Source organism: Homo sapiens, chromosome 10 (assembly GCF_000001405.40).
Source record: "Homo sapiens chromosome 10, GRCh38.p14 Primary Assembly".
Classification (NCBI taxonomy): domain Eukaryota; kingdom Metazoa; phylum Chordata; class Mammalia; order Primates; family Hominidae; genus Homo; species Homo sapiens.
The window spans coordinates 28299148-28326842 of NC_000010.11; the positions used below are offsets into that span (position 1 = coordinate 28299148).

The 27695-nt window shown below is 43.3% G+C and overlaps 1 protein-coding gene and 1 long non-coding RNA gene across 9 annotated transcripts in view, besides 1 other annotated feature; one reads left to right on the forward strand and one right to left on the reverse strand.

The window, feature by feature from the left end:
• The window catches only part of MPP7 (MAGUK p55 scaffold protein 7), a 284211-nt gene that overhangs the window by 248155 nt on the left and 8361 nt on the right, over positions 1–27695 (reverse strand). For 5 of the 6 annotated variants that reach the window (NR_134518.2, NR_134517.2, XM_011519338.3 and 2 more), the window contains exon 1: positions 3714–3917. The exons of the other annotated variant lie outside the window; for it this stretch is intronic. The gene's annotated coding sequence lies outside the window, so the exon portion shown is untranslated. Of the gene's footprint in view, positions 1–3713; positions 3918–27695 lie in introns of those variants that run through there. 6 annotated transcript variants of the gene reach the window in all.
• Positions 3464–4103: a silencer, noted in NCBI's record as "silent region_2249". NCBI's record gives its function as "represses an Ori minimal core promoter by ATAC-STARR-seq in GM12878 lymphoblastoid cells {active_cell/tissue: GM12878}" and the evidence as "EXISTENCE:reporter gene assay evidence [ECO:0000049][PMID:35858748]".
• On the forward strand, positions 4022–7124 carry MPP7-DT (MPP7 divergent transcript). Of its 3 annotated transcripts, none has more exons than XR_930772.3 (2): positions 4022–5282; positions 6252–7124. It is a non-coding gene; the product is annotated as an MPP7 divergent transcript (long non-coding RNA). The 3 variants fall into 3 exon arrangements; XR_930771.3 differs by having other exon boundaries at positions 4022–4452; XR_930770.3 differs by having other exon boundaries at positions 4022–4321.

Below are 27695 nucleotides of genomic sequence, written 5' to 3' on the forward strand. Positions count from 1 at the left end.
AGAGCTCGCTTGTTTGGTGCAAGAGGCCTAGCTTTTGGCCTGTTTCAGCTTTTGTCATGACCTCCTCACTAAGCTCACTCATTTGTAGCTTTTTGATTTAAAGTGGGAGACACGCGACTCTCCATTCACTTGAATACTTAGATGCCAATGTAGAGTTATTAATTGGCCTAATTTCAATATTGTTGTGTCTCAGGGAATAGGGAGGCCTGGGGAGAGGAAGAGAGTTGGGGAATGGCCAGTTGGTGGAGATATCAGAACATATGTAACATTTATCAGTTAAGTTCACCATATTATATAGGTGCAGTTCATGGAGCCCCAAAACAATTAGAATCGTAACATCAAAGATCACTGACCAGAGATCACCATAACAGACAGAATAACAATGAAAAGTTTGCAATATTGTGAGAATTACCAAAATATGACAGAGACACACAAAATGAACATACACTATTGGAAAAATAGCACCAATCGACTTGCAGGGTTGCCAACGAACCTTCAGTTTGTAAAAAACACAGTATCTTCAGAGAGCAAGCCTGACTAACAATTTCCTTCACTTTAAATTCAAAATGAAGGAATACCCTTTCCTTCCGAATGTATCTCATTTAACAAAATTCAAGACTTTTTTTTTTTTTTTTTGAGACGGAGTCTCGCTCTGTGGCCCAGGCTGGAGTGCAGTGGCACGATCTCAGCTTACTGCAAGCTCTGCCTCTTGGGTTCAGGCCAATTCTCCTGCCTCAGCCTCCCGAGTAGCTGGGATTACAGGCGCCCACCACCACGCCCGGCTAATTTTTTCTATTTTTTAGTAGAGACAGGGTTTCACCGTGTTAGCCAGGATGGTCTCAATCTCCTGACCTTGTGATCCGCCCGCCTCGGCCTCCCAAAGTGCTGGGATTACAGGCGTGAGCCACCATGCCTGGCCAAAACTCAAGACTTAAGTCATTCATTACAATTTTGTCTGAATTGCAATTAGGAGAGAAACAGCTGCAGTACCTTTGTATCTTTGTCAGTGAAATGTTTATAACAAGGAAAAACAAAAATCTGTTTGAAATCTCCAGTAAGCGCCCCCCAGTGCACCATCTAGTGGAAGTCAGGTAGTGTCATAATTAATTTAAAGAAAAAAGTCACAGAAACTCTGAAAACCATTGGGGGAGGGGGAGAAGTCAAAGCTTCAGGTAAGAATACAAGCAAATACTTTACAAACAGCCAAAATATCTTTCCAGTGTCCCACAATGCAAGAGGGCTGGGCTTATGAGAATAAATGATTCATTTTCTGTATAATCAACAGATGATAAAAGTTCCTTTATGGAAATTTTTGCTTGGGTGCTAGAAATTTTGACAGGAGAGTAAAAGTTAAATAAAGCCACTAAAACATAAATAAGTAAATAAATGCTGGGCTAGAGTGACAGCCTTGTGTAAGAAGAGTTGCCTTATATGTTACATGAATATGTTAAAATGTACATGTGAAACAGAGGTATTAGCCACAAAACAAGAGATAACTTCATGATTAGAACAGTTACATTCAGGCTGGGTGCAATGGCTCACGCCTGTAATCCCAGCACTTTGGGAGGCCAAGGCAGGCAGATCACTTGAGGTCAGGAGTTCGAGACCAGCCTGGCCAACATAGTGAAACCCCATCTCTACAAAAATATTAAAAAAAAAAAAATAGCTGGGCGTGGTGGCATGCGCCTGTAGTCCCAGCTACTCAAGAGGCTGAGGCAGGAGAATCACTTGAACCAGGGAGGCAGAGATCACAGTGAGCCACAGCACTCCAGCCTGGACAACAGAGTGAGACTCCACCTCAGAAAAAAAAAAAAAAAGAGTTCCATTCAGTAATCCATAAGACATTTTCATGTTCCTGATAACTAGTAAATTTAACAAAACCTAACGATTCTCTAGAATTCCCTAAGCCTTAACATCATACAAGCGGCTACTCCCAACTACCCATTTCAGCCTGTCCCACACTAATGCCCAAACTCCTTTGGTCAAGTTATTCTAATTAAGAAATTATTCTTCAATCCGTCTATAAATTTACAGTAAACACTTCCCGAAACAAAGTCATAAGTCATGATCAAAATGCATTACACTTCATTAGTATTTTCCTTCTGCATATCAATTATTTCTATTCAATTCAAAAAAAGGTACCGAAATTCAATGCTGAGCTAGAGATGCAAACACAAATAAGGTTCTCTAATTTGGAAAGCTTCCCAAAATTTAAAATAGAGATTTTCACACAGCATTCCTAACTTTTGTTTGTTTTGCCTGTGTGGAAAATTACCTTTCACCTGAAATTCAAACTAGCTAAGCAACCTGAATGGAAAGAAAAACCTCGCAGATAATATTTCTTTACTTGAAAATAACCATCTCCACCTCTGACCTGTGTATACGGGATCAAATTGGTATGCAGAAGTTGGCTTGATGGCGGGAATCTTACCCAGATTTTGGATTAAATCCATTATAGGTATAAAATAAAGTAGGAGTAAAGTGGGGCAGGATTCCTTTCATTTCTAGGGCTTTCAGTTGACATACCTGTAAAATGGACATGCTATGCACAGCCTGCCTCAGAAGAGTAGGAGGATGGCATACTATATAATTGATAGAGTGCTATGAGCTTCACGATTAAATGGAAATACTGTTTTTATAGAACCAGAGTGAACCTGAGCATAGAAAACTCTCCAAGGGCCATCGCTGTGACATTACCGCTAAAACTCAGTGACCTTCATCAATTCACTTGTAAACAAGCAATATATTGAGCAAGTCAAAGGAAAGGCAGCAACAATTCAAGATACTTCTTTATAAGTAAATCAAATTACGTAATTAATAGCCCAGGATTTACCTGCAAACTATTACTGCCTGACTAGCAGGTGCATCCCCAAAGCCTCGAGTACAGAGACTGTTTTTAGAGAGCCCCCCCTTTTTTAAATGTGAATATTGCTTTTAAAAATTAGAAAAAGAAAAAAATCACAATTCTACTCCCACCCATGGCACAGTGACAGAAACAAGGTCCCACCCCCACAATCCTTTCAAACCTGCACAGGCATTCCTCACGAACACTCCTCCCCCTCATTCCTACCTCACCGCTCCCCACTTCAGCCCAGACAAAGCTGAGTTACTCGGCTGGGTCTACCTGTCACTTAAGAAAAAGCCCCCAAATAGATTCACGCTAAATGCTGCTTTTAATTTTTTAAATAGCAAATAAGTAAATAAATAATGCTATCGTGTAGATTACACGGCCAAACGCCTGTTCTCAGAAAACATGTAATTAACACGACCCAAGTGAAGACGCCTTTCTGGCTTAGGGAAAGAAAAAAAAGAAGCCAGCCAGCTTATCGCTCCCTTTCAGTCGGTTCTTTTCCCCGGGGAGCCGGACTCTGACTCAACTCCGCAGTTTTTCCTCCACCTGTCGGTTCTCCCCGCTCTGGGTCTGCCCCGCCGCCGCCCCCGCCCGGAGTCCCGCGCGTCAACAGGGGTCTCCAGGGGTCCTCAGGGTCCCGCCCGAGGCGGCCCCGCCCCTGCCCCGGCCCCGCCCCCACCTCCTCACAAGGTGCCCGCCGCGGGCTCCCAGGCTGAGGCGCCTAGAGGCCGGCAGGAGGCTCCGGAGGACCGCGGCACCGCTCGGCCCGGTCGCCGGCGCAGGGAGCAGCTTCGGGGGCCGACCCCACCGCCCGAGCCTAGCCCTGGGCTCCGACAGGCGCTCCCCAGAGGCGCCCCATTACCTGCTCTGGGCTGCCGCGGTCCGCGGGCAGGAGGCGCACTCGCTCTGGCCCCTGCAGCCCCGGGCCCGGAGGCAAGGAGGCAGCGACCGCCACCGCCGCAGAGGACAATCGGGAGCCAGCGGGCTCGGCACCGCCGCGGCGGGCGCAGAACGCACGAGCCCAGTGGGAGCCCGGCCCCCGCCTCCAGCCCGGCTAGTAACCAACACGGCCCCCACCCTCGGAGGGGCGGGACCGCGGTTGGAGGGGCGGGGCGGGGCTGCACCGCCCGCGGGTAAGAGGGGCCTGCTGATAGGCTGCGAAGGCGATAGGCGTCTCAGACTTGAAGACGCCTCTCCAGCAGAACTCCCTCATTGGTCGGCAAGAGAAAACAAAGCTGGGCTCTGATTGGTGACAGCTCTGTAGCTCCTCCTCATACCCGCAGTCCCCGCAAGTTCCACCCCTGCCCGCCCGGTTCGCTCGCCCTTGGTTCCCACTCCCAGGTGGCTGCAGACTGGAGTGTGTTTCATGGACGAGCAACCTCCCTGAGGAGAACCCCGGATACGCAGGTTCATTCGCCAGATGCGAGTTTTCTTAAGCCGCTGCGATTCTCTGATTTCAGTATGAACTTGGTGAATAACGTAATCTTTAACTTCCTTTGGATTCAGACAAGTCTCCTAGGTTTAAAAATGCTGCATAAGATTGAGAGGGATATTGTTATGCACGAAAAAAGACATAAGGTGTTTTCACCTTTGGCGACACTGTAGGTGACTTTTTCTTATTACCTTTTTGTGTTCCATATTGAACATGTACTACATGATTAGAAAAAAAAATTCTTAAATAGAAAAATGAGTAGGGTGCGGAGAATGGTAAAGACAAACTTTAAGGAAATCCAGAGAACTGATTCTTTCACAATAGAAGAAAATACAGTAAACATGCTTAATATCTGAGGGCTACCCCGAAAAAACATGAACTGGTATCAGCGCCCTTCAGCTCTCTTAAAGAACTTTACATATGTGACCGAGGTGCCCCCATACTCCTTCCTATCATGTAACCAACACATAATGTGGACAGCACTACACTGCAAACAGAATTACAGGAAGACTCTTATAGGAAGAATTAGAATCCAAAGTACACAATCAATAAAGCTTTAGAAAAAGGGGTAGTAAAAAGCAGAAGACAAAAAAAAATCAGGTAATATAAATTGGAAAGCTCAGCTGATGGAGGGAATCATCAGAAAAAAAATAATGTGACAACACTTCAAGATGTGATAGAGACTTTGAATGGAAAGCTGAAGGGAGAGGAAGGGGATTGAGATAAGGATCAATGACCTGCAGTTAATATGAGCTCTCAGAACACATCCCCCAGAACTGGTGTCAGCCTAGAAGGCAAGAAGCATTTCTCACCTAGGGACCACTCTCACTTAACTCTCTCTAGCTGCCTTAACATTCTGTTTGTTCTTGTCATTCTCGCAAAGTTCTAAAACAGGCTATTTGAAATTAAGCACTTCCCCCCAGCAACTCCGTGAATTACGTAATAGTGAAAAATGGAGATAGACAAAAAGCAAACCTGAGGAAGGAAAGGAATGTTAAGGTAAACATAAACTTAAAGAGAAGTAAGGGCAAAACACCTGATAGAAAGAAGACAAGAAATTCTTTTTTCTCTCTTACTTCCTGAGAATAAAGTAAAGGTCTTTGGAGGACAGAATAACCTTATTGCCTAACAAAAAGAGTTTTTACCAAACCTTTCTAATAATAACTGTAATTCTAAACTGTAGTCTAAAAATACGTGTCCTAAAGTAAGTACTTTGAGCAAATAGTTTTGAGATCTAATATTTTTACATTGTGTAAGGAAAAGAAGAGGAACTTAGCCTAGTATGAACAAACTGTAGGGAATACCCTTCAAAAGTTTCTTCTACAATAACACCTGAAATTCCATCACTAACATTCTTTCACTGGGATTAAATAATGTATGTCTAAGATTATTCTTTTATTCATTTACTCATCAAACGTAATCAATATTAATCATCAAATACTAGATACTGCAATGAACGAGGCTTTCTACTAAGCACTCAGAGTATAGCCTTGAACAAGACAGACTTGCAGCTGTTTTTATCAGAAGATGGACAATGATCCAATAAAAAGATAAACTTCCAGACCGGGATCAGGGCAAAGAAGAAAACAGTGACCAGAGGGATGGGAGACACACTTAATTTTGGGAAAGGAGAAAAATGCTTTAAGGAGAAATGATCTAAGAGAAATGCTCTAAGATTTGAGGCACCACCTAAATAAGAAAACACCAACTTAGCAAAACTCCAGGGCAGATAAAATAGCAAGAACAAAGGACTTGAAGTAGGAAGAAAAGTGATGTATAGCAGGAACAGAGAGAAAGCCAGCATGGGTATCATGGTGCATAAGGAGAGTGCTACTAGACAGGTTGGAGAAGGAGGTGAGGACCTCGTAGGCAATGGTAACTTTGTATTTTGTTACAAGGATTCCTGACGGGCAACATCGAGTTGCTGATAGTGGAGTAAAATCATTATTTTTTTTTTTCCTTTTTCAGAGTCACCAGTAAAATGAGCATTCATTCATTAAGCCAATCATCAGGAATGGATCTAGGAAGAACCTACTGTTTACTAGAAATAGGTTAGATCTGTGGATATAACAATGAATAAGACAAGACTGGTGGATCTATAGAGAAACTATTACTGCACAGGTGATGGGGAAATCAAGAGTACTATGGGGCCAAGGAGACTGTCCTGCAGCAAATGAGGAATAAGCTGAAACATCAGTAGGAGCCATCCCAGAGAAAAGGGACAGGGTTCTAGATCCAGAGAACAACAGAAGAGCATTCAGCGCCTGCAAGGGAGCAGGGGATCTAATGCAAAGCCATTGCATAACCAGTCAACTTTCCCCACATCACAAGATTGCCTAGCCTGGATGGCCCCAGAATGTTGAAACAAATGTCTAATTAGTAACGACATTCTGAATGCTTGGGAGCTGAGCAAAATATGAGGAGAAGCAACCTGATTTTTGTTTCATATTATCATCTCCTTTATTCCAGCAACAAAAGACACTGAAAATAGTAAATGCCCACTTTCAACCATGACAGCCCTTTTAGGATAGTAACGGTGAGCAGTATTAATCCTATTTGACCAGAACTAGGGCAGAATTGAAGCCCCTGGAGTAGAGATCTGTTCTATTAGCCCCAGCCTTTCCGCCTGCTTCTTGGGATGGCTATCTTTACTTTATCAGTTGAGCCTCCAGCATTAGCAGATACCTATAAGGGAAGAGATCCAGCCCTCACTATGGAGGGCCAGAAAGAGAAAGCACCAGACATTAGGAAATGTCAAAGTATCTCAGTACATCCAGCTGATTAGTGACAGATAAGTCAAAATTTGCAGCAACTAAATAAATCAAAAAGTAGATTTTAAAATGTGATCTTTGAAATATTTGGCACAATGCTTCAAAGCCACTGAAAAGCTATCTCTTCACCCTAATAGAGGACAGAAATTCATTAGATAGACAGAAGAGGCTGCATACAGTAGCCCATGCCCATAATCTCAACAACTTTGGAGGCCAAGGTGGAAAGATTACTTGAGGCCAGGAAATCAACACCAGCCTGAGCAACATAGCAAGACATCTTTACAAAAAATTTAAAAATTAGCCAGGTTTGGTGGTGTGCAGCTGTAGTCCTAGCTACTCGGGAGGCTGAGGTGGGAGGATTGCTTGAGGCCAGGAGTTCTAGGCTGCAGTGAACAGAGATTTTGCCACTGCGTTCCAGCCTGGGCAACAGAGTAAGACCCTGTCTCTAAAATAGATGATAGATAGATAGAGAGAGAGAGAGAGATGATAGATAATAGATAGTTGATAGATAGATGATAGATAATAGATAGTTGATAGATAGATAATAGATCGTTGATTGATAGATTAGATAGATGTATAATAGAACCCAAAGGCAAAAATAAGTTAGTCCTCAGGAAGACCCAGATCGCAGACCTGAAAAGCCAGGAGGAACTCAATGGAATTTTTTTCCATAGCAGGTGCTCTCTCTACACCTGTGCTCTATTCTCCTATTCTGATAACCAGCCCCTGGCTCCTATGTCCCAGTGTCAGAGAAATGATGTTCCAGAGCTGCACCCACAAGGACTAAATCACCTGCCTAACCCTAACCCTAATCATAGATGATGGGGGCTGCAGGGGACCAGTATGGCTGCCAGGGCCCATCCCTGTTTATGAGCAGAGGTTTCCCAGAGAAGACACACTGGGCAGATTACCAGACACGCATTCATTGCACCCCTGACATTTTCAATCGCCAGTCAATGAGGCTTCCTTTCTAGTTACTGAAAGTCTTCACCTGCTGTTTATAGTAAACTGGAGACCTAGAGGCCAAGGCCGAAGGCTTGGATGGTAATTTCCCACATTCTCTGGAAATCTTTCTACTTCAGTTGGCTTCCAGACACCCAGTACCCTTGTGTGTTCCAGTTTCAAGTTGCCATTCTTGTTCAGGTCTTCTAGTAATTTCCTGTTTCCCTATCTGAAGTGTACCTCCTGACATCAATGTATTCAAAGAGCAAATGCTCCTGCCAAATCTATGAGTGTCAGTGAACTAGCCTGCTGCTCTGGGCTCAGATGAGACCAGCTTGCAGAACAAGCAGGACAGAGGCGTGAAGGGAAGCAGATGGCAAACCTCGATCTGCCACCATCCCTTCCACAGGCATTCCGTATGAGGACATCTGTCCCCACCCCTGGATGAAAACTTGGGTGATCCCGAAATTTTTCTGATTGCTCACAGGTAATAAAAATCATTTGGTCAGTTTAAATCACAATATACAGCTTTAATTTTAATGTAAATGCCATTGATCAACACTTTCAAGCTTCATTCACAGTTAAACTTTCCCTCTGCTTCCCCAGAAAGGGTCCCATGCAGCCAAGCTATGGAACTCCAAAAAGGGGGAAAGGATCCTTCTCTCTATCCCCCTAGAATCCCCTTCAAATTCAGGTTGCAAAAAGAAGGGGGAAGAGTCCAGGACTAGCAAGTTCATGCTTAACTGGTGCATTGCTAGCAGGGGTTGCTCTCCAAGCCTGGACAATGACTAAAATGTGCGCTTCCTTCTTGGGTCTTTTCTTGGGTTCTTAGAGACCTGTACTTGAAACATCCAACTCCACTTCTCTTGACCTGAGCAATGCAATTTTCTCTAACACTTCCCCTCGCTTTCTCATTCCCTGCCAGTCACTTTATAGTCTCCTGTTGCAGGGGAAGAAGGGAAATGGTCGCTAGGCTGCTCCAGGTGATCCTTGTAGGCAGGATTTAAACTCCTTCAGCCCAGCTGTCTCTTAACAAACAGCTGTTATCTGGTCCTTCAGACATTCATCCATACTTTACGCCCATGGTTGGTAAAAGTGCAGCTGGCTGTGTGCAGACTGGTCTTCAGTGTTCTCTCTCTCCACCACTGCCCCACTGCTGCCTCAAGCCAGTATCTTCAGCCTCTCCACTTGAGATTTGTCTCCAAATACCAGGGGACACAAATCAAGTTGCCTTCATGGTCTGCCTCACTGACACTGCCTCTCTAGTGAGTTTAAGGAGAAAGGTCTCAAAGAAGCAGGAGTAACAGAATTGCTTTCTTCAGAGAAAACATCTTCATAGATTCTTTCCTGAACTCCACTTCCTCTGCCCTTTTATGATCCTATTTTGGGTGAGGCACTTTTAAGAGTCACCAAGGGGCTAGGATATTTCCTTTTAAGATTTGCTTCTTGCTCTGACAACTTATTTTGGAATGTCACACCTATTAATTATCTTGGTGTGGTAGTGCACACCTGTAGTCTCAGCTATTCAGGAGGCTGAGGCAGGAGGATTGTTTAAGCCCAGGAGGTTGAGGCTGCAGTGAGCTATGATCACGCCATTGCACTCCAGCCTGGGCAACAGAGTGAGACCCTGTCTCAAAAAAAAAAAGACAACAACAACAAAAAAGAATTTCACATCTATTGTCTCTTCCTGCTTCAGTCAAAACTTTCTTTTTACATTTTTCTATATTGATGTGAATCTGTAAAAACTGCTCTTGTTAATTAACACCAAGGACACGGACTAAGAAAATTGGAAAACTCTAAAACTAGTCAGAAACTGCTATTTGATGATCAATGAGAATGGAACACCCACTCTTGCCTGGATGATTCAAGCCTGAGGATCACTTGACCCAAGGAAGCAGTCTTTATTTCCAGCCTTCAGTTCAGAGATGTGGGGACCCAGCATTCCACATTTAACTTTATGGTCTCCAAGGAAACAGAACTCTGAATCTGTCACACCAGAACTCATGTTAATAAAAATATTACTAAATGTTAAGAAGATACTACTCACATCACCTGAGGTCAGGAGTTCAAGACCAGCCCGGCCAACATCGTGAAACCCCATCTCTACTAAAAATACAAAAATTAGCTGAGCGTGGTGGCAGGTGCCTGTAGTCCCAGCTACTCAGGAGGCTGAGGCAGGAGAATTGCTTGAACCCGAGATGTGGAGGTTGCAGTGAGCCAAGATCCCACCACTCTACTCCAGCCTGGGCAACAGAGTGAGACTCCATCTCAAAAAAAAAAAAAAATGCTACTCACAGCCTTGCTCTGCTTTCAGTCTATCACAACACTGTTTCCTTCCAATTCCTTCTCCCAGTTCCTACAAGAAGGCTACTTTTTCCCTTGGTGAGACCCTCTGTGGGTTCCTTGGAGCACTCCCCCTTGTTACAAGCTCATAAACCCAACCAAGTTAGACTGCAGGTTTGTCTCTGATGGTGTTTGGCTGTTGAACTTTATCATTAACAACCTGATATCATTTGGATGTTTTCCCCTGAAAATCTCACATTGAATTGTGGTCCCCAGTGTTGGAGGTGGGGCCTGGTGGGAGGTGTTTGGGTCGTGGGGGCGGATCCCTCGTGGCTTGGTGCCATCCTTCTGACAGTCAGTGCGTTCTTTGGAGATCTGGTTGAGTAAAGTGTGTGGCACATCCCCTCCCTGGGGATTGGCTCCAGGGTTGGCTCCAGCTGTCATCACATGATATGCCTGATCCCCTTTCCCCTTCTGCCATGAATAAAAGCTCCCGGAGGCCGCCCCAGAAACTGAGCAGATGCTGGCGCCATGCTCATCCAGCCTGCAGAACTGGGAGCCAATGCCAATTAAACCTTTTTTTTTTTTTTTTTTAAACGGAGTCTTGCTCTGTCACCCAGGCTGGAGTGCAGTAGCACAATCTCGGCTCACTGCAACCTCTGCCTCCTGGGTTCAAGCAATTCTCCTACCTCAGCCTCCCAAGTAGCTAGGATTACAGGCACCTGCCACCACACCCGGCTAATTGTTGTATTTTTGGTAGAGACGGGGTTTCACCATGTTGGCCAGGCTGGTCTCGAACTCCTGGCCTCAGGTGAGCAGCCCACATCGGCCTCCCAAAGTGCTGGGATTACAGGTGTGAGCCACTGTGCCTGACTCTTTTCTTTATAAATGATCCAGTCTCAGGTATTCCTTTAAGTAGTGCAAAAATGGCCTAACACACAGCCAGTTCTTCCCAGCTCAGGTTCCTGCTCCACTCTCCCATGTTCTGTCTTCATGCCTGCATCTCCTCCTGTTGCGCTGTCACACGAACTCGTTGCCACCATGGTACCATCACGAATCACCCAGAATCCAGCAACTTTCAATTATATACCATTAAAAATACCATAAACATGTGCATATGCAGGAACAATCATATTAATAGTTTCAAACATAAGAAAAAACTAATTTCCTTATACCATTAATTTGCAACAGTATTAAAATTACCTGAAGAGCCTTTTCAAATTATACAAGCACTGAGATGCTAATTCAATGCTTCTTAACAGGCTCTCCCCAAATGCACACACCTGGATCTACCTCATTACAGCAGTGATCCTGTTGGTGATGGTAGAGGACCCTCAGGTATTTTTGGGAAAAAGCTATAAACCACTTTACCCTGCACTGATCTGATAGACTCATTGGAATTCTAAGTCTATAAGTGTGGGGAATATATTTGGTTGGTGCAAAAGCAATTGCGGGTTTTGCCATTTAAAAGTAATGGCAAAACCCTTAATTAATTTTGCATCAACCTAAAATATTTTTCTCTTAGCTAAAATTACAGGTTTGATCTTGCTTATAAATAAAACTGTCCCCACAATGTCAGGGGCTTTGACTTATTCACTATGGGATCCCCAGTGGCTTACAGGTTGGAGACATAGCAAGAATCTAGTGAAGATTTACTGAACTAACTCATTTGGAACTCATTTTAAAATGAAAGAGTTTTCATCAACCAGTTGTACCTGAGCAAGAAACATTTATCTAAAGTATTAGCAGTGACTGTGATCCATTATATTTATTTTTTTCTATTTGGCAACCCTTCAAGATTGATTTTCCATGTGGTTTGCAATTGGCTGCATACTCAAGGACTTCTGTATGTAAACTGAGAGTGATCTAATAATTCTGAGGCATACGGGTGTGAATGACAGCATGATGTGTGGGTGTCTGAAGTTGGATTGCTAGCGACCTCATGAATACCTCTATACCAATTTATATGTGGTCCCCAGCATAGTATGTGACCATATGTGTTACAGTAACATAGTCAAGAACTTCTTAAATAAAACACAATAAAGAGACTGATAATTACGTAAATGCTGGTATGCTAACCTGAGGAGCCTCTGCCTGTTTGTGATTTAGTCTTTGATTATTCAAACAAGTTGTGTCCGGTAATATATATGTCCATTTGATTGAAATATACATATAGCTGAGCATGGTGGCTCATACATGTGATCCCAGCAATTTGGAAGGCTGAGGTAGGAGGATTGCTTGAACCCAAGAATTCAAGACCAACATGGGCAACATAGCAAGACCCCATCTCTACAAAAATTAAAAAATTAAATAGAATGCATAGATGTGTTAATACACACACACACACACACACACACACAAACACTGAGATTCTCATGTCAACTAATGCTCCGTCCTCCCTCTTGCCCATGTCTAGAAAGCTTTAAGTTGAACCAGTTTGGATACTTTTAAAATACTCTTTTATCTATAGTGTTTGAAGTTGGGATTATAAAATAATTTTTTAACTTGCATTTAGCTTTTTTAAAAAAAAGATCAATTTTTTTTCTGGCATTGTGTCCAGAATTGGTTCCTTCCAGCAGGTTTACGGTCTGGCTGACTTCAAGAATGGAGATGGTCCTTATTAACAGCTCTTAAAGATGGCACGGACACAAAGAGTGAGCAGCAGCAAGATTTATTGTGAAGAGCGAAAGAACAAAGCTTCCACAGCGTGAAAGGGTACCTGAGCTGATTGTCGCTGCTGGCTGGGATGGCCAGCCTTTATTCCCTTTTTTGTCCCCTCGCATGTTCTGTTTCTGTCCTATCAGAGTGCCCTTTTTTCAGTCCTCCCCACGATTGGCTACTTTTAGACTCCTGCTGATTGGTTGTGTTTTACAGAGCACTGATTGGTGCATTTTACAGAGTGCTGATTGGTGTGTTTTACAGAGCACTGATTCGTGCATTTTACAATCCTCTTGCTAGCTACAGAGCGCTAATTGGTGCATTTTACAATCCTAGCTACAGGGTGCTGATTGGTGCGTTTTACAATCCTCCTGTAAGACAAAAGTTCTCCAAGTTGATCCAGGAAGTCCAGCTGGCTTCACCTCTCAGCATGATTATAAATTGAGAACACTTCTACCTTGTACCAAAAAAACCAGTCTCAACACTTTTTAGCCATACTCATTAAGAACAAAATACGTGAACACTTTGTAACACGTATAATTGGAATAAGCATTTTATATTCAGAAAGAAGGCCAGTGATGGAAACGTTGAGAAAAAAATACATAGTGAGATGAGTCATTCAGAATTTAGATTTAATTAAGCTCAGTCATCTTTGTACTTACCATGTTGATCTCCCAAGGGAGCATCGCAAGCAAAGTGACTCTTGCACCACTTATGTTATCCTAGAAACTATGCCAGCATTAATTAATTTGTGCTGACCTGGAAAGCAGAAGCTTCCTTATCTCGCCACTTGAAAACTAAGTAACTCCTTGTTCCACGTTGAAGATTAGGAAACTTGCAAGGATGAGCTACAGCAACATAGAAAACAGCACCCCCACAGCAGGAGGGGCAGTTTGAGGATGTGCACACAGAGGGGATGTTTCCAGGACCCAGGCTTCACTTCCAGCAAAGATGTTACTTTAGAAGATGGGACTCTTTCACTTAATTGTGTCTATTTTCTTAACTCACAGCTTTCTCCTGTCTAGCACCTTTATCCAAAAATTCCCTGTCCCTGGTATATGAGCAGAAAACAAAGGAACTTAATAGTTAACTCTCTGATACATATGAGTGCAAATTCTACAATTAAAAAAATAAAGCCAGGCTGGGTCTGATGGCTTATGCCTGTAATCCCAGCACTTTGGGAGGCCGAGGCAGGAAGATCACTTGAGGTCAGGAGTTGGAGACCAGCCTGATCAACATGGTGAAACCCCGTTTCTACAAATAATACAAAAATTAGCTGGGCGTGGTGACACACACCTGTAATCCCAGCTACTCAGGAAGCTGAGGCAGGAGAATCTCTTGAACCTGGGAGGCAGATGTTGCAGTGAGCCTAGATTACACCACTGCACTCCAGACTGGGCGACAGAGCAAGACTCTGTCTCAGAAAGATAAAATAAAAAAAAAGGAAACAAAAAGACAGAGATATCCTAAATAGTGACAAATTTAAGAATGTAAGATATACATAATATAGCTGAAGAATTGACTAAAGAGGTTAATATCCCCGCAGAGAAGAACGATTTATGAAATTTATAATTTAAGGCTCTAATTATGCTCTGTAAACAACCAAATAATAACTTTTTTTGAGACAGGGTCTGCTCGGTCCCCCAGGTTGGAGTACAGTGGCACAATCTTGGCTCACCGCAGCCTGAACTTCCTGGGTTCTGTTGATCTTCCCACCTCAGCCTCCAAAGTAGCTAGGACTGCAGGTGTGTGCCACTATACCTGGCTAATTTTTTTTTTTTTATTTTTTTTATTTTTTTTTGGTAGAGACAGGGTTTTGCCATGTTGCCCAGGCTGGTCTTGAACTCCTGGGCTCAAGTAGTCCTCCCGCCTTGGCCTCCCAAAATGCTGGGATTACAGGCATGAGCCACTGTGCCTAGCACGGAATAACCTTGTAAACTAAGAGCTTCCATGCTGTTTAGAATGGCTGGCTCCTGTTAGCAAATGCTAAATATTCTAATTTCCACACTATTTGATTTTTCTTAGGTTCTATCAATATTATTATGCATTACGATACTTCATCTTAAGTCATTAATAACTGTCATTCATTCAACAAACATTTACTGAGCACCTACTATGTGCCAGGTAGTGTGGTGGGTTCTGGATTGGTGGGAAAGAATACAAACATGTTTAGGCCAAAATCCATAGCCTCTCAGAGTTCACAGAATTCTGATTTGTGCATTTGCAATCATTGTCAAAACAGGCATTTGCCTCAGGCCCTGTCCATCTCCAGTGTAACATAAGGATTATACAAGCAAATGAACTGTAGAATGCAGCAGGAAACAAAAGAAAACAAGGCAGATAGTTTCTGAATAGGATTAATGGCACCGCCTCCTGGAGTGGGCTTGATGAAAGAGCTGGTGTTGCAGGAGTTCTAGCTTCCGCGTATGTTCACTAAAGGCAGAGAATCTAGAATGAAGTCCAAACGATTTTGAGAACAATCGCAAAGTGTTGAAGAATCTCCAAAGAAGAAGCATGTTCAGTAAGATTGGAACACTGAATGACAATTCTACCTTAGACACTAAAGCTAGTGGTGTGAGCTTGGACATCTCATTTACTTTTCTGAGGCCATTTCCTTATTAATAATTTATGTGCAGTGATTAATCCACCCAAGAAGTTACAAACTGAAGTTATTCAGGGTGAGCACAAAGTTTGTAGAAATTTTGATTTGTTGCCAACATTTCAAAATCAGGAGATTTCTTGGAAAAGTTCAACTCACAAGTTTCTATTTTTAAGAAAAAAGGCCGGACACAGTGGCTCACACCTGTAATCCCAGCACTTTGGGAAGCCAAGGCAGGAGAATCTCTTGAGGCTGAGAGTTTAAGGCCACCCTGAGCAACATAGCAAGACCCAATATCTACAAAAAATATAAAAATTAGCCAGGTGTGGTGGTACACACCTGTAGAACCAGCTACCTGGTAGGCTGGGACAGAAAGATTGCTTGAGCCCAGGAGTTTAAGGCTGCAGCAAGCTGTGATTGCACAACTGCACTCCAGCCTGGGTGACAGCCTGGAGACCCTGTGAAAGAAAGACAGAAAGAGAGAGAGAGAAAAACAAAGAGAAGGAGGGAAGGAAGGAAGGAAGGATGGAAGGAAGGAAGGGAGGGAGGGAGGAAGGGAGAAAGGAAGGAAGGGAGGGAGGGAAAAGAAAGAAGGAGGGGGGAGGGAGAGAGGGAGAAAGGAAAAAAGGAAGGAAGGAAAGAGAGGGAAAGAAGGAGGGAGGGAAGGAGGGAGGAAGGAGGGAAGGAAGGAAGAGAGGGAGGGAGGGAAGGTTGACCCACACCTCCGTGTGGCAGTGTTTACCTGAAGCAGAGCGTTGTGCCCCCTTTTCGAGCTGGCATGTGCTTTGCAGTCTGTGGCGCACCCTGCCCACTGGCCTCACTCATCCTCCCACTTCCCTCCTGGCCACTGCAGACATTTGAGTTTGCGTCTCCTGAACTGGATGGTTTTTAAGGGCTTCTTTTAGTTGTTGAAAGCTACAGGAACTGTTTCAAGGTAATATAAATTAAAAATATGTATGTTGCTGAGAGAAGAGACAAATCACCCATGCAGAAGAATTTTAAATCATTTATGTAAATACTCCATCCTCAGAGAGGTGAAGAATACCTCCCCATCCCTTAAGTGTGGCTGCCCATAGTGACCTCCTTCCAAGAGTATAACACAGAAAGGTGGGGCGGGGAGAGTAACTTTACAGTGGAAAAACCTGACCAGCACTATCTCAACCAGCTGATCAAGGTCAACATCAACAGTGATGAGAAGTCATGTTGCCTGTGTGCATGGCCTTCCTCCCCTAAACCCCTATCCCCAGTCATGAGAAAAACATCAGACAAATGCCAATCAAGGGGCATTTTACAATAGGCTTGACCAGTACTCCTCAAAATTGCCAAGGTAATCAGAAACAAGGAAAGTCTGAGATGGACATAGCTGAGAGACTGCCATAGTTTAAAGAGACATGACAAGTAAATGTAATGTGGTACCCTGGATGGGATCCTGAAACAGTAAAAGGATATCACATAAAAACTGAGAAAATGTGGCCGGACATGGTGGCTCACGCCTGTAATCCGAGGACTTTGGGAGGACGAGGCAGGTAGATCACTTGAGGTCAGACATTCGAGACCAGCCTGGCCAACGTGGTGAAACCCCATATCTACTAAAATTACAAAAATTAGCCGGGCATGGTGGCACGCCTGTAATCCCAGCTACTCAGGAGGTTGAGGCAGAAGAATCGCTTGAACCCAGGAGGCAGAACCTGCAGTGAGCTGAGATCGTGCCACTGCACTCCAGCCTGGGCAACAGAGTAAGACTCTGTCTTTAAAAAAAAAAAAAAAAAAAAAAAAAAAAAAAAAAAAACTATCTGAGAAAATGTGAATAATGTATGGACTTTAGTTGCTAACAATGCACCAGCGCTGATTCATTAATTATAACAAATGCACCACAGCAATATGTTTATAGTAAGGGGAACTAGGAGCAGAGCACATGGGACCTCTCTGTACTATCTTCTCAATTTTTCTGTAAATCTAAAACTGCTCCAAAAAATAAAGTCTATTTTAAACAGATGATATATACGTATGGAGTTGTATGTAGACATGCATATGAAGGATACTGGTGTATCTCAAGGAATCAGTGGAAGATTTGAACACTCAAGACTTGAGTAGGAAAAGTTAAGTTTTCAGCAGCTCTTTCCTGTACGGCGCTCGCTGCCTTTAACGTGACTCAGCTCTGTCCTCTGTCAGGCTTTGAGTCTCTCTGTTCCATATTTCAAATTTGTCAAAGAGAAAAGCTCATTACTTCAGCCTGGGGAGGAGTCTGAGCCTGGATCTGTGAGTCCTGGTCAGGGTTCTGTGGGAGAATCCTGCTGCTGTACCCACGCATGTATGTAAGTGATCATTTTCATAAAAGGGGGAAGAACTGTGAGCCAGAAAGTTCTGAAGTGCCAAGAAGGTGATGCAAGGGAAAGGCTTCACTGATGAAGTCAATATCCTAAAAATTAAGGGCAGATATTCCAAAACAAAGAGCATCCTTGTCATTAGCATCTGCCATTTATACACGCTAGAAAAGCTTCTATGCTAATCCCAGAATTTACAAAATTTTAAGAAATCAAGATATATAAAAGTTGTTTATTTGGCTGGACACAGTGGCTCACACCTGTAATCCCAGCACTTTGGGAGGCCAGGATGGGAGGTTCCCTAGAGACCAGGAGTCCAAGACCAACCTGGGCAACATAGGGAGAGCCCATCTTTACCAAAAATAAATAAATAAATAGCCGGGTGTGGTGGTGCATGCCTGTAGCCTCAACTACTTGCGAGGCTGAGGCAGGAGGATTACTTGAGCTCAAGAGTTCGAGGCTGCAGTGAGCTGTGACCATACCATTGCATCCCAGGCTGGATGACATAACAAGACCCTGTATTTAAAAATAAAGGGTAAAAAATTGTTTTCGGTAAAGATTGATTTAGCTCCCAAGTAGTCATGTCAGCTCTCCTGACTTCTAACCACAATTGCTTTTATTTTTAAATAAAACCATATTAAAGGAAAAGTCTAAAGTAGTCACATGTAATAGTAACCTTGCAAATTTCACCACATTGATACAGTGGCAGGAAAGTGAGTTAAATGCAGACCAGCTAAGAGAGGCATGGGGTAGGTCACGATTTCAGGGTGGCCGCCATGCCTGGTCCAAGCAGTTGCTGCCTTGGCACTAATTAGGAAAAGGCACTCTTCCTCAAGATGTTTTCCTTCCATTTGTTGGAAAATTCTTATGCTATGCTGCTTCGATTAGAGCAAGACACTTCACTGACATCTGCCAGGAATGTGTCATAATAAAAATACAAATGTGTGATGCTTACGCCATGACTGCAGTACCCTGTGCAGTACACAAGCTGCACAACCATATGCTGTTGTTCCGGGTGCCATCGCCTATTATGAGCATGTGTCATCTATTTAGAGCCTTGGCAACCTCAAACTTACTTTCATGCCTCACTATATATACTTCTCCCAAAAGAGCGGGCATTCCAACTACCATGGGAAATCATGATTTTGTTTACCTTGAACTGAAATAAAGAATCCCACTCTTGGACTGATCTATAATTGCAATTTCCTCAACCGTAACAGAGGAAATAATAACACCCATTGAACAGGGATGTTATGATCATTAAATGAGACGACACTTCAAAGCACTGAGCACAGTGGCTGACAGATAATGAGGTCTCCACTGAGGCTTGGTTCTTCTTCCTTCTCTGTGTAACATAACACAGCACAGTCAAGCTTCTCTGTTGAAAAGCAATAGGGGTCAGGCATGGTGGCTGACTCCTGTAATCCCAACACTTTGCGAGGCCAAGGTAGGTGGATTACTTGAAGTCAGGAGTTTGAGACCAGCCTGGCCAATGTGGTGAAACCCATCTCTACTAAAACTATAAAAATTAGCTGGACATGGTTTCGTGTGCCTGTCATCCCAGCTACCCAGGAGGCTGAGGCAGGAGAATCACTTGAACCTGGGAGGTGGAGGTTGCAGTGAGCTGAGATCATGCCACTGCACTCCAGCCTGGGTGACAAGAGTGACACTCCATATCAAAAAATAAAAGAAAAGAAAAGCAATAGGATTATTCTTGTGAAAGTACTCTTAGATACATAGCCCTGCCCTTCTAGTTGTCGGATGATGGAAAGGTTTTTTACTTGCCTTGCTTAAGTGAAGCCAAATTCAAATCTCATACACCATCTGTAGACAAGCAGTGTGTGTTTTCTCTTCACAAGTTACATGCAAGAAGCAGTTTATAACTTCTATTTGTGAAAGAACCAATTTGTAAATGTAATATGATGCTTTAGAAATCTGTGTCAAAGACATATTTTTCCTTGAAACATATTTGAATGTTTGTATTAGTCTGTTCTTACACTGCTATAAAGAAATACCTGAGACTGAGTAATATATAACGAAGAGTTTTAATTGGCTCACAGTTCTACAGGCTATACAGGAGGCATGGCTGAGGAGACCTCAGAAAACTTACAATCATGGCAGAGGGTGAAGGGGAAGCAGGCATGTCTTACATGGCCAGAGCAGGAGGAAGAGGGTGAAGGGGTAGGTGCTACACACTTTTAAACAATCAGCTCTCATGAGAACTCACTCACTGTCATGAGAACAGCAAGGGGAAAATCCACCCCATGATCCAATCACCTCCCACCAGGTTCCTCCACCAACACTGGGGATTACATTTCAACATGAGATTTGATTGGGCACACAGAGCCAAACCATATCAATATTTTATCTTCCTAGATGGGAATTTTAGGCTGGCATGGTGACTCACATCTGTAATCCCAGCACTTTGGGAGGCTGAGGCAGGTGGATTGCTTGAGCCTAGGAGTTCAAGATCAGCCTGAGCAACATGGCAAAACCCCGTCTCTACAAAAAAATACAAAAATTAGCCCAGCATGGTGGTCTGGGAAAAAAAGAGAGAGAGAGAGATGATATATCTTCAGTTAACTGTATTATGACTTACATTTGGCTACAGTTCAGTAAATTCAGGACATAAATTCTGAGGGGGTATTTAAATGTTGACACTGCCATTTATAAAAACACATATTGTGGCTAGGCATTGTAGCTTATGTCTGTAATCCCAGCACTTTGGGAGGCCAACGCAGGTGGATCACTTGAGGCCAGGGGTTCGAGACCAGCCTGGGCAACATGGAGAAACCCCATCTATACTAAAATACAGAAAATTAGCCGGGTGTGGTGATGCACGCCTGTGGTCCCAGCTACTCAGGAGGCTGAGGCAGGAGGATAGCTTGAACCCAGAAGGCAGAAGTTGCAGTGGGCTGAGATAGGACAACAGAGACAGACTCTCTCTCAAAAACAAAAAAAAATACATATTTTATTCACCCAAATTATTCTTTCGGTGCCCTCTATACCTCAGTAAGGGAAACTGCTCTATTGAAGTTCCCAAGGGAGGCCCATTACTTATATTCCCCAGTCACGCACTGAATGTCTCTATGTAAAGGAGTCAGTTAGTGACTCTGGAGAAGATACGTGTGAGAGATCAACAGGAATTGAAGAAAAGGAAACTAGTTTAAGGAGAGAAATGGGCCGAGAAGGTACCCTGGAGGAGAGCATTCCTTTTGGGATGCATCATGAATAAAAGGTTTGAGGCAGCAATGAGCTGTATATGTCTAAAGGAAAACGAGGATGCCAGCTGGAACAAAACATTTCTGTAGGGAAGGGTTGGACAGCCATGGAATGACCTAGATTGTCAGGCTGGGAAATTTGGACCAGATTCTAAAATCAATAGAAGTTACTGAAGATTTTTTTTTTAGCTTGCCAGGAAAATGGTATTTTAGGACAATTAATCTTATAGGGGAAAAAAGAGAGACTATTTCCAAGTCAAATAATTAAAATTATTATTTTATTTTTTACAATGATAGTGAAAAGAGGACCTTTAGAATAAGCCTTCTTAAGAAAAAAATAGAAATAAAACTATCGAAGTGACCGAGTACTTATCAACAGTGGAAGGGGGGTCAACTTGAAATCACTACACATCGTTTCATATCAATTTTGCTTGACATAACTCTTCATTATTCAGGGTGGGCGGTCCAAAATCTTTGTTTCATAATCAGTGTTGTTCAGTTGTCAGTTTTCACTAATTTAGAATAATTACTTAATATCTACATCAAGCCTACATCTCCTATTTTGCCACTTCCAATTTTTAAAACTAGTGCAGTTTTTTGTTTGTTTTTTTTTTGTTCCTCTGCAGTGGTTTGGAACAAAAGGCAGCACTGGTAATAGCCCCTGACGAGGTTCATCTTCTTAACTGTAACAGTGAGGCAATTCAGGGGCAGACAGAGTGTCCCCCAGAGCTATGCATGGCACAGGACATGCTCAGGCCCCATGCCCACTCTGACAATGCGCGGTGCTTGGAGAAGCTTCCTCCCCACCGGGGAGATAGGCAGTTCCTCACTCCCAGAGCCCTAGCTCAGGCCAAGACTTGGATCTAAAAGGTTTGAAACCTTAATGGGGCTGGTAGAAACCAGAAAGAAAAGCTGACATCTCAAATATATATGTAGTTTCCTCTCCTGCAAAAAAATAGAAATTAGGATATATATTTGGGGCATATTGTTCTGGAAAATGAACAAAAAAAGGTTAATTTTAGATATGAAAATAGACACCAAATGAGAAAAGCTCTTTTCATGTTACTGCTCCAAACATCTAAATTGTTCCATGTTAAGTAACAGTAACAGAGAACACCCAATACACATCTTCCTGGATTATTTTATGCAGTCCTCACAGTTGACATCATGGGATGGATGTTATTATTCCTATTTTATAGGTGAGAAAACTGAGGCTAGAGCAATTATTTTAATTGCCCAAATTTAGATGATGAATAATTGGCAGAGCTGGGAGTCAAACTGGTCTGCCTCATGTCAAAGTCAAAACCCTTCACTGTCATTCTAAATCCTTCAGATTAGGGTATTTTTTAATAGAAATTTTTTTGTTTTTGTTTTTGAGACAGGGTCTTGCTCATCACCCAGGCTGGAGTGCAGTGGTGCGATCTCAGCTCACTGCAACCTCCACCTCCCATGTTCAAGCAATTCTCCTGCCTCAGCCTCCTGAGTAGCTGGGACTACAAGCATGTGCCACCACACCCGGCTAATTTTTATATTTTTTAGTAGAGACAGGGTTTCACCATGTTGGCCAGGCTGGTCTCGAACTCCTGGCCTCAGGTGATCCACCCACCTTGGCTTCCCAAAGTGCTGAGATTACAGGTATGAGCCATGCCTAGCCAGAAAATTTTTAGAGAATTTATTTAGACTGCATTATACCTGTAAGCTACAACTTGTTTTTGTAGACGTGTGTGTGTGTGTGTGTGTGTGTGTGTGTGTGTGTGTGTGTTTAGCTGTACAGATACTCACAGAAGATAAAAACCTGCTTTTCTGAGGAAACTTGGAAAGACATTAGATGCATTTTGTGCCACTTCAGGGCCATGTGACAAAATGAGTCACAGATCCAGGGAGGTGACAAACGTTCCATTTATATAAGGAGCCCTGCACTCCAGGACTTGCAATCAACTTAGCAGGCAATTGACCATGGTAAGGAGAAGTGGGAGGAAGAGATCAAGTACAGGTGGAGATGGTGTGGTGCTGAAACAGATGGGATATTATTATCCATATAAAAGCTGGATGTCTTGCGGTTCCTGCTCTGAAGAAGTAGTATTAAAAGAAACATTAGATCAGAGGTTGTCAAGTTCAAGTTATTAACATTTTTCCTGCTTTTCTAAAAAAATAAAATAAAATAAATAAAAAATAAAAGCTCATGACTCTGGAAGGATCAGAAGATTTGCACAAAAAACTTTGAAAAACCCTCTCTCCCCATCTGAAAAACCCACTCTCCATAAAATGGCAGCCAGGCCCCAACCTTTCTCTGTTACTTTTGGCTGTCATTGACACCCCGCTCTTGGCGGGTCTTGTCTCTCTTCGCCGCTGTCTCTTTCCTTTGATTTCTACTCTTTGACCTTTCCCAGGGGTAAAACTCAGTGCTCTCTAGAGCACAGCCACACTCTGTCACTTCTCCAGTTTCTCCAAGCCCAGATCCTGCACCATAGAAGCCCAAGAACCAAGCTGAAGAAGACAAAGTTTCCTTTAGCAGCTGTGTGAGGGGAAAGCTAGGAGCACCCACGTGTTAATATGATTTTATTTGTGTTAAATTATTGATAAGACCTGGTGAGATTGGGGTTGCTCAGTTCTGTACATCATCTCAAAGTCACCTTCTGCCTCCATTGTTTCATTAAGCAGTCCCCTGTAGTTCTAACACTCTGGGAGGTCGAGACAGGCAGATTGCTTGAGCCAGGAGTTCAAGACCAGACTGGACAACATAATAAGACCCATCTCTACAAAAAAGAAAAATAGGGGCCGGGCACGGTGGCTCACACCTGTAATCCCAGCGGTTTGGGAGGCCAAGGCAGGCGGATCACAAGGTCAGGAGATTGAGACCATCCTGGCTAACACGGTGAAACCCCGTCTCTACTAAAAATACAAACAATTAGCCGGGCGTGGTGGAGGCGCCTGTAGTCCCAGCTACTCAGGAGGCTGAGGCAGGAGAATGGCATGAACCTTGGAGGCGGAGCTTGCAGTGAGCCAAGATCAGGCCACTGCACTCCAGCCTGTGTGACAGAGCGACACTCCATCTCAAAAAAAAAGAAAAATAAATCAGCTGGGCATGGTGGTGTACACCTGTGGTCCCAGCTACTTGGGCGGCTAAGGTAGGAGGATCAATTGAGCCTAGGAGTTGGAGGCTGAAGTGAGCTAAGATCGCACCACTGTACTCTAGCCTAGGCAGCAGAGTGAGACTCTATCTAGGAAAAAAAAAAAAAGAAAGAAAGAAATCCCAGCCAAAACCGGGCTTTGTTTTCCCCAGTATGCAAGTTCTAAGCTTAGGAAAAATTGCTGCTCTAAGAATTGTGAAATGGGCTAGGCACAGTGGCTCAAGCCTGTAATCCCAGTACTTGGGGAGGCTAAGGTGAAGGGATCACGTGAGGCCAGGAGTTCTAGACCAGCTTGGGCAACATAACAAGGCCCTGTTGCTACACACAAAAAATAATAAATAAATAAATAAATAGAGAGAGAGAAAGAGTCATGAAATGACTGGGAGACAATGAATGAAGTTCAGTCTCCAGTCCTGGAGCCACACTGATGGAGCTTGATGGTTTGGATGCCGGGTGACTGAATATGGCATAATACGCCACCTCTTCAAGTCATGGTGTCCTCTTTGCAAAATTGGGATGTGGACATTCATTAGATATTATTAAATATCTACTATATGCCATGCACATTTTGCGTTCTAGGGATACACAATGAATAAAACAGAAAAAATATCTGCCTTCATAACCATATATCCTAGTGAGATGATAATAGCTATATTCACCTCTTCAGTTATTATGAGGACTAAAATGAGATAATAACAATAGCTGTGACGGTCTGTCTACTGCCAAAATTCATAGGTTGAAATCTTAACCCCCAAGTTGATGATATTAGGAGGCAGGGTCTTTGGGGCTGTGACTAGGTCATGAAGGTTCTGAATGGGATTAGTCCTGTAGTGAAAGAGGCCCCAGAAAGCTCCCTGGCCCCTCTGCCACGTGAGGGCACAGAGAGAAGACGTTGTCTATGAACCAGGCAACAGGCCCTCCCCAGACACCAAATCTGCCAGCGCCTTGATCTTGGACTTCCCAGTCTCTATAACTGCAAGAAAGAAATTTCTGTAATCTGGAAGCTACCCAGGCTATGATGTTTTGTTATAGAAGCTCAAACAGACTAAGACAATAGAAAACACAGATAGTAAGATTATTATGTACCACGAATGGTTCTAAGTACTTGGCACATGTTGTCACTCAAGGGTTCTTTAATTTTTCTGCACTACAGGCCCTTTCTGCAATTTAGTGGAGCATCTCCACCCTTTCTCAGAATAAGAATTCTATATGCATAAAATAGAACATATAGGATAACCAAATATACTGAGACAGCTGCCAAAAGAATAAAAAGTAATACGGTAATAAAGATTCTTCTTTTTAAATACATTTCATAATGAGAACTGGAGACAGGTTTAACAATGCCATGACTTTGAAAAACTGATGAGCATAGATGTAATTAATTTTTCCTATTCAAGTTCACAAGTATCCAGAACTCTACCCACTGGTTTATACATCCCGGAGTGAATCTAGTCCTCACTATAAATCCTAGGAGATCAGTTATTAGCCCCTTTTTAACAGTTGAAGAAGCTGAAGCATGGAGAGGTTAGTTGACTTGCCTAAGTCTATAAGTGATAGAGCTGAGATTTGAACCAATAGTCCAGTTCCAAAGCCTGTGTTCACAGCTCGCTGCAGCCTTGACCTCCCAGATTCAAGTGATCCTCCCATCTCAGCCTCTCAAGTGGCTGGGACTACAGACACATGCCACTTTACCTGGCTAATTTTAATATATTTTGTAGAGATGGAGGTCCCACTATATTGCCCAGGCTGGTCTTGAACTCCTGAGCTCAAGTGATCCTCCTGCCTTGGCCTCCTAAAGTTCTGGGATTACAGGTGTGAGCTACTGTGCCAGCTGCTTGTGTTCTTAACCACTATACAGTATGTGGCTTAGCACAGGGCTTGCCTCATGGTCAGAGTCAATAACATTAGCTAGTATTTGAAAGTAGTATTGTAATAAGTAGTAGAAGCATTTGTAATAGCAGATATCTAGGGAATAAGGAATAACTTGTACTGATATTAAGAACATTTTTGGCCAGGTGCGGTGGCTCATGCCTGTAATCTCAGCACTTTGGAAGGCAGAGGCAGGAGGACCACCTGAGGACAGGAGTTTGAGACCGACCAGGGCAACATAGTAATATCCCATTTCATTTCTTTTTCTTTTTTTTCTTTTTTTGAGACCGAGTCTTGCTCTGTCGCCCAGGCTGGAGTGCAGTGGCGTGATCTCAGCTCGCTGCAACCTCTGTCTCCCCGGTCCAAGGGATTCTCCTGCCTCAACTTCCCGAATAGCTGAGATTACAGGCATGCACCACCATACCCGGCTAATTTTTGTATTTTTAGTAGAGAGGGGGTTTTCCCATGTTGGCCACACTGGTCTCAAACTCCTGGCCTCAAATGATCCACCTGATTCAGCCTCCCAAAGTGCTGGGATTACAGGCATGAGCCACCGCGCCTGGCCGCAAGACCACATTTCTACAAAAAATTTAAAAATTGGCCCAGGTATGGTGGTGAACACCTATAGTCCCAGCTACTCTGGAGCCTGAAGTGGGAGGATAGCTTTAGCTCAGGAGTTCAAGGCTGCAGTGAGCTATGATCGTACCACTTCACTCCAGCCAGGGTGACAGAGTGAGACCTCATCTCAAAAAAAAAAAAAAAAAAAAATTCCTTAAAGAGAAAAATCTGGCCTGCAGTAATTAAGTTAACTTTATAGGACACGGCATAGCCCATCCTTCTCCATCTCCAGGCATGTAGAAGCTCACTGCTTTCTGTATGTGGTTACCCTATTCTGGAGCTGCACACCAAAGATTTGGGGTAGACGTGATAATGCAGAGAAACGTTTTTCAGGTGTGAAAATCTCTTATTTTTATTTATATAATCCCATATCAATTATTGGGGTTTTTCTGTACTTCCGGGAGACACTGTCACCAAAAGACCTTTAGGAAATCAATCAGTGTGGCAGAATAAAAAGACCGCTGTTCATCTTGCAGAGAAGGGCTGCTACAAATGAAGGCAGCTGCTGTTCCTCCTTGCTACCAATTGTAAATGTGAGAAGTCAGAGGTGTGGGTACGACATTGATCCTTCAGGCACTCTATAAATATTAATTGAAGGAAGGTGTTGATAAGGCAAAGAAACTTACACTTCTACAAATGGTGACAGTCAATGCTCCGGGCTCAATTTTAAAAAGAAAAAGACAAACAAGGAAGTCCAGATCATTAGAAGGGCTTTCTTGGCAGTGCTAAGTTACAGCCATCAGCAGAGCAAGCCCTGGCTAAGGCTAATGTCACATGGTAAGATGATTTATTCTTTCCCCTAAGTCAGCCTTGAAAATACATTTTTCAAATTGCCTGTCCACAGCGTAGTTTTACTGTGACAAGGCACTCAGTTCCTTAACATTCACCTGGCACAACGCTCTCAACAGCAAAGCCAAGTGGCAGAAAGTGCTGGGCCACATTGCCAGGGTACATGCCAGTCGGTTCACCAGAGAGTTTGCAAACCCCAGCTCCCGG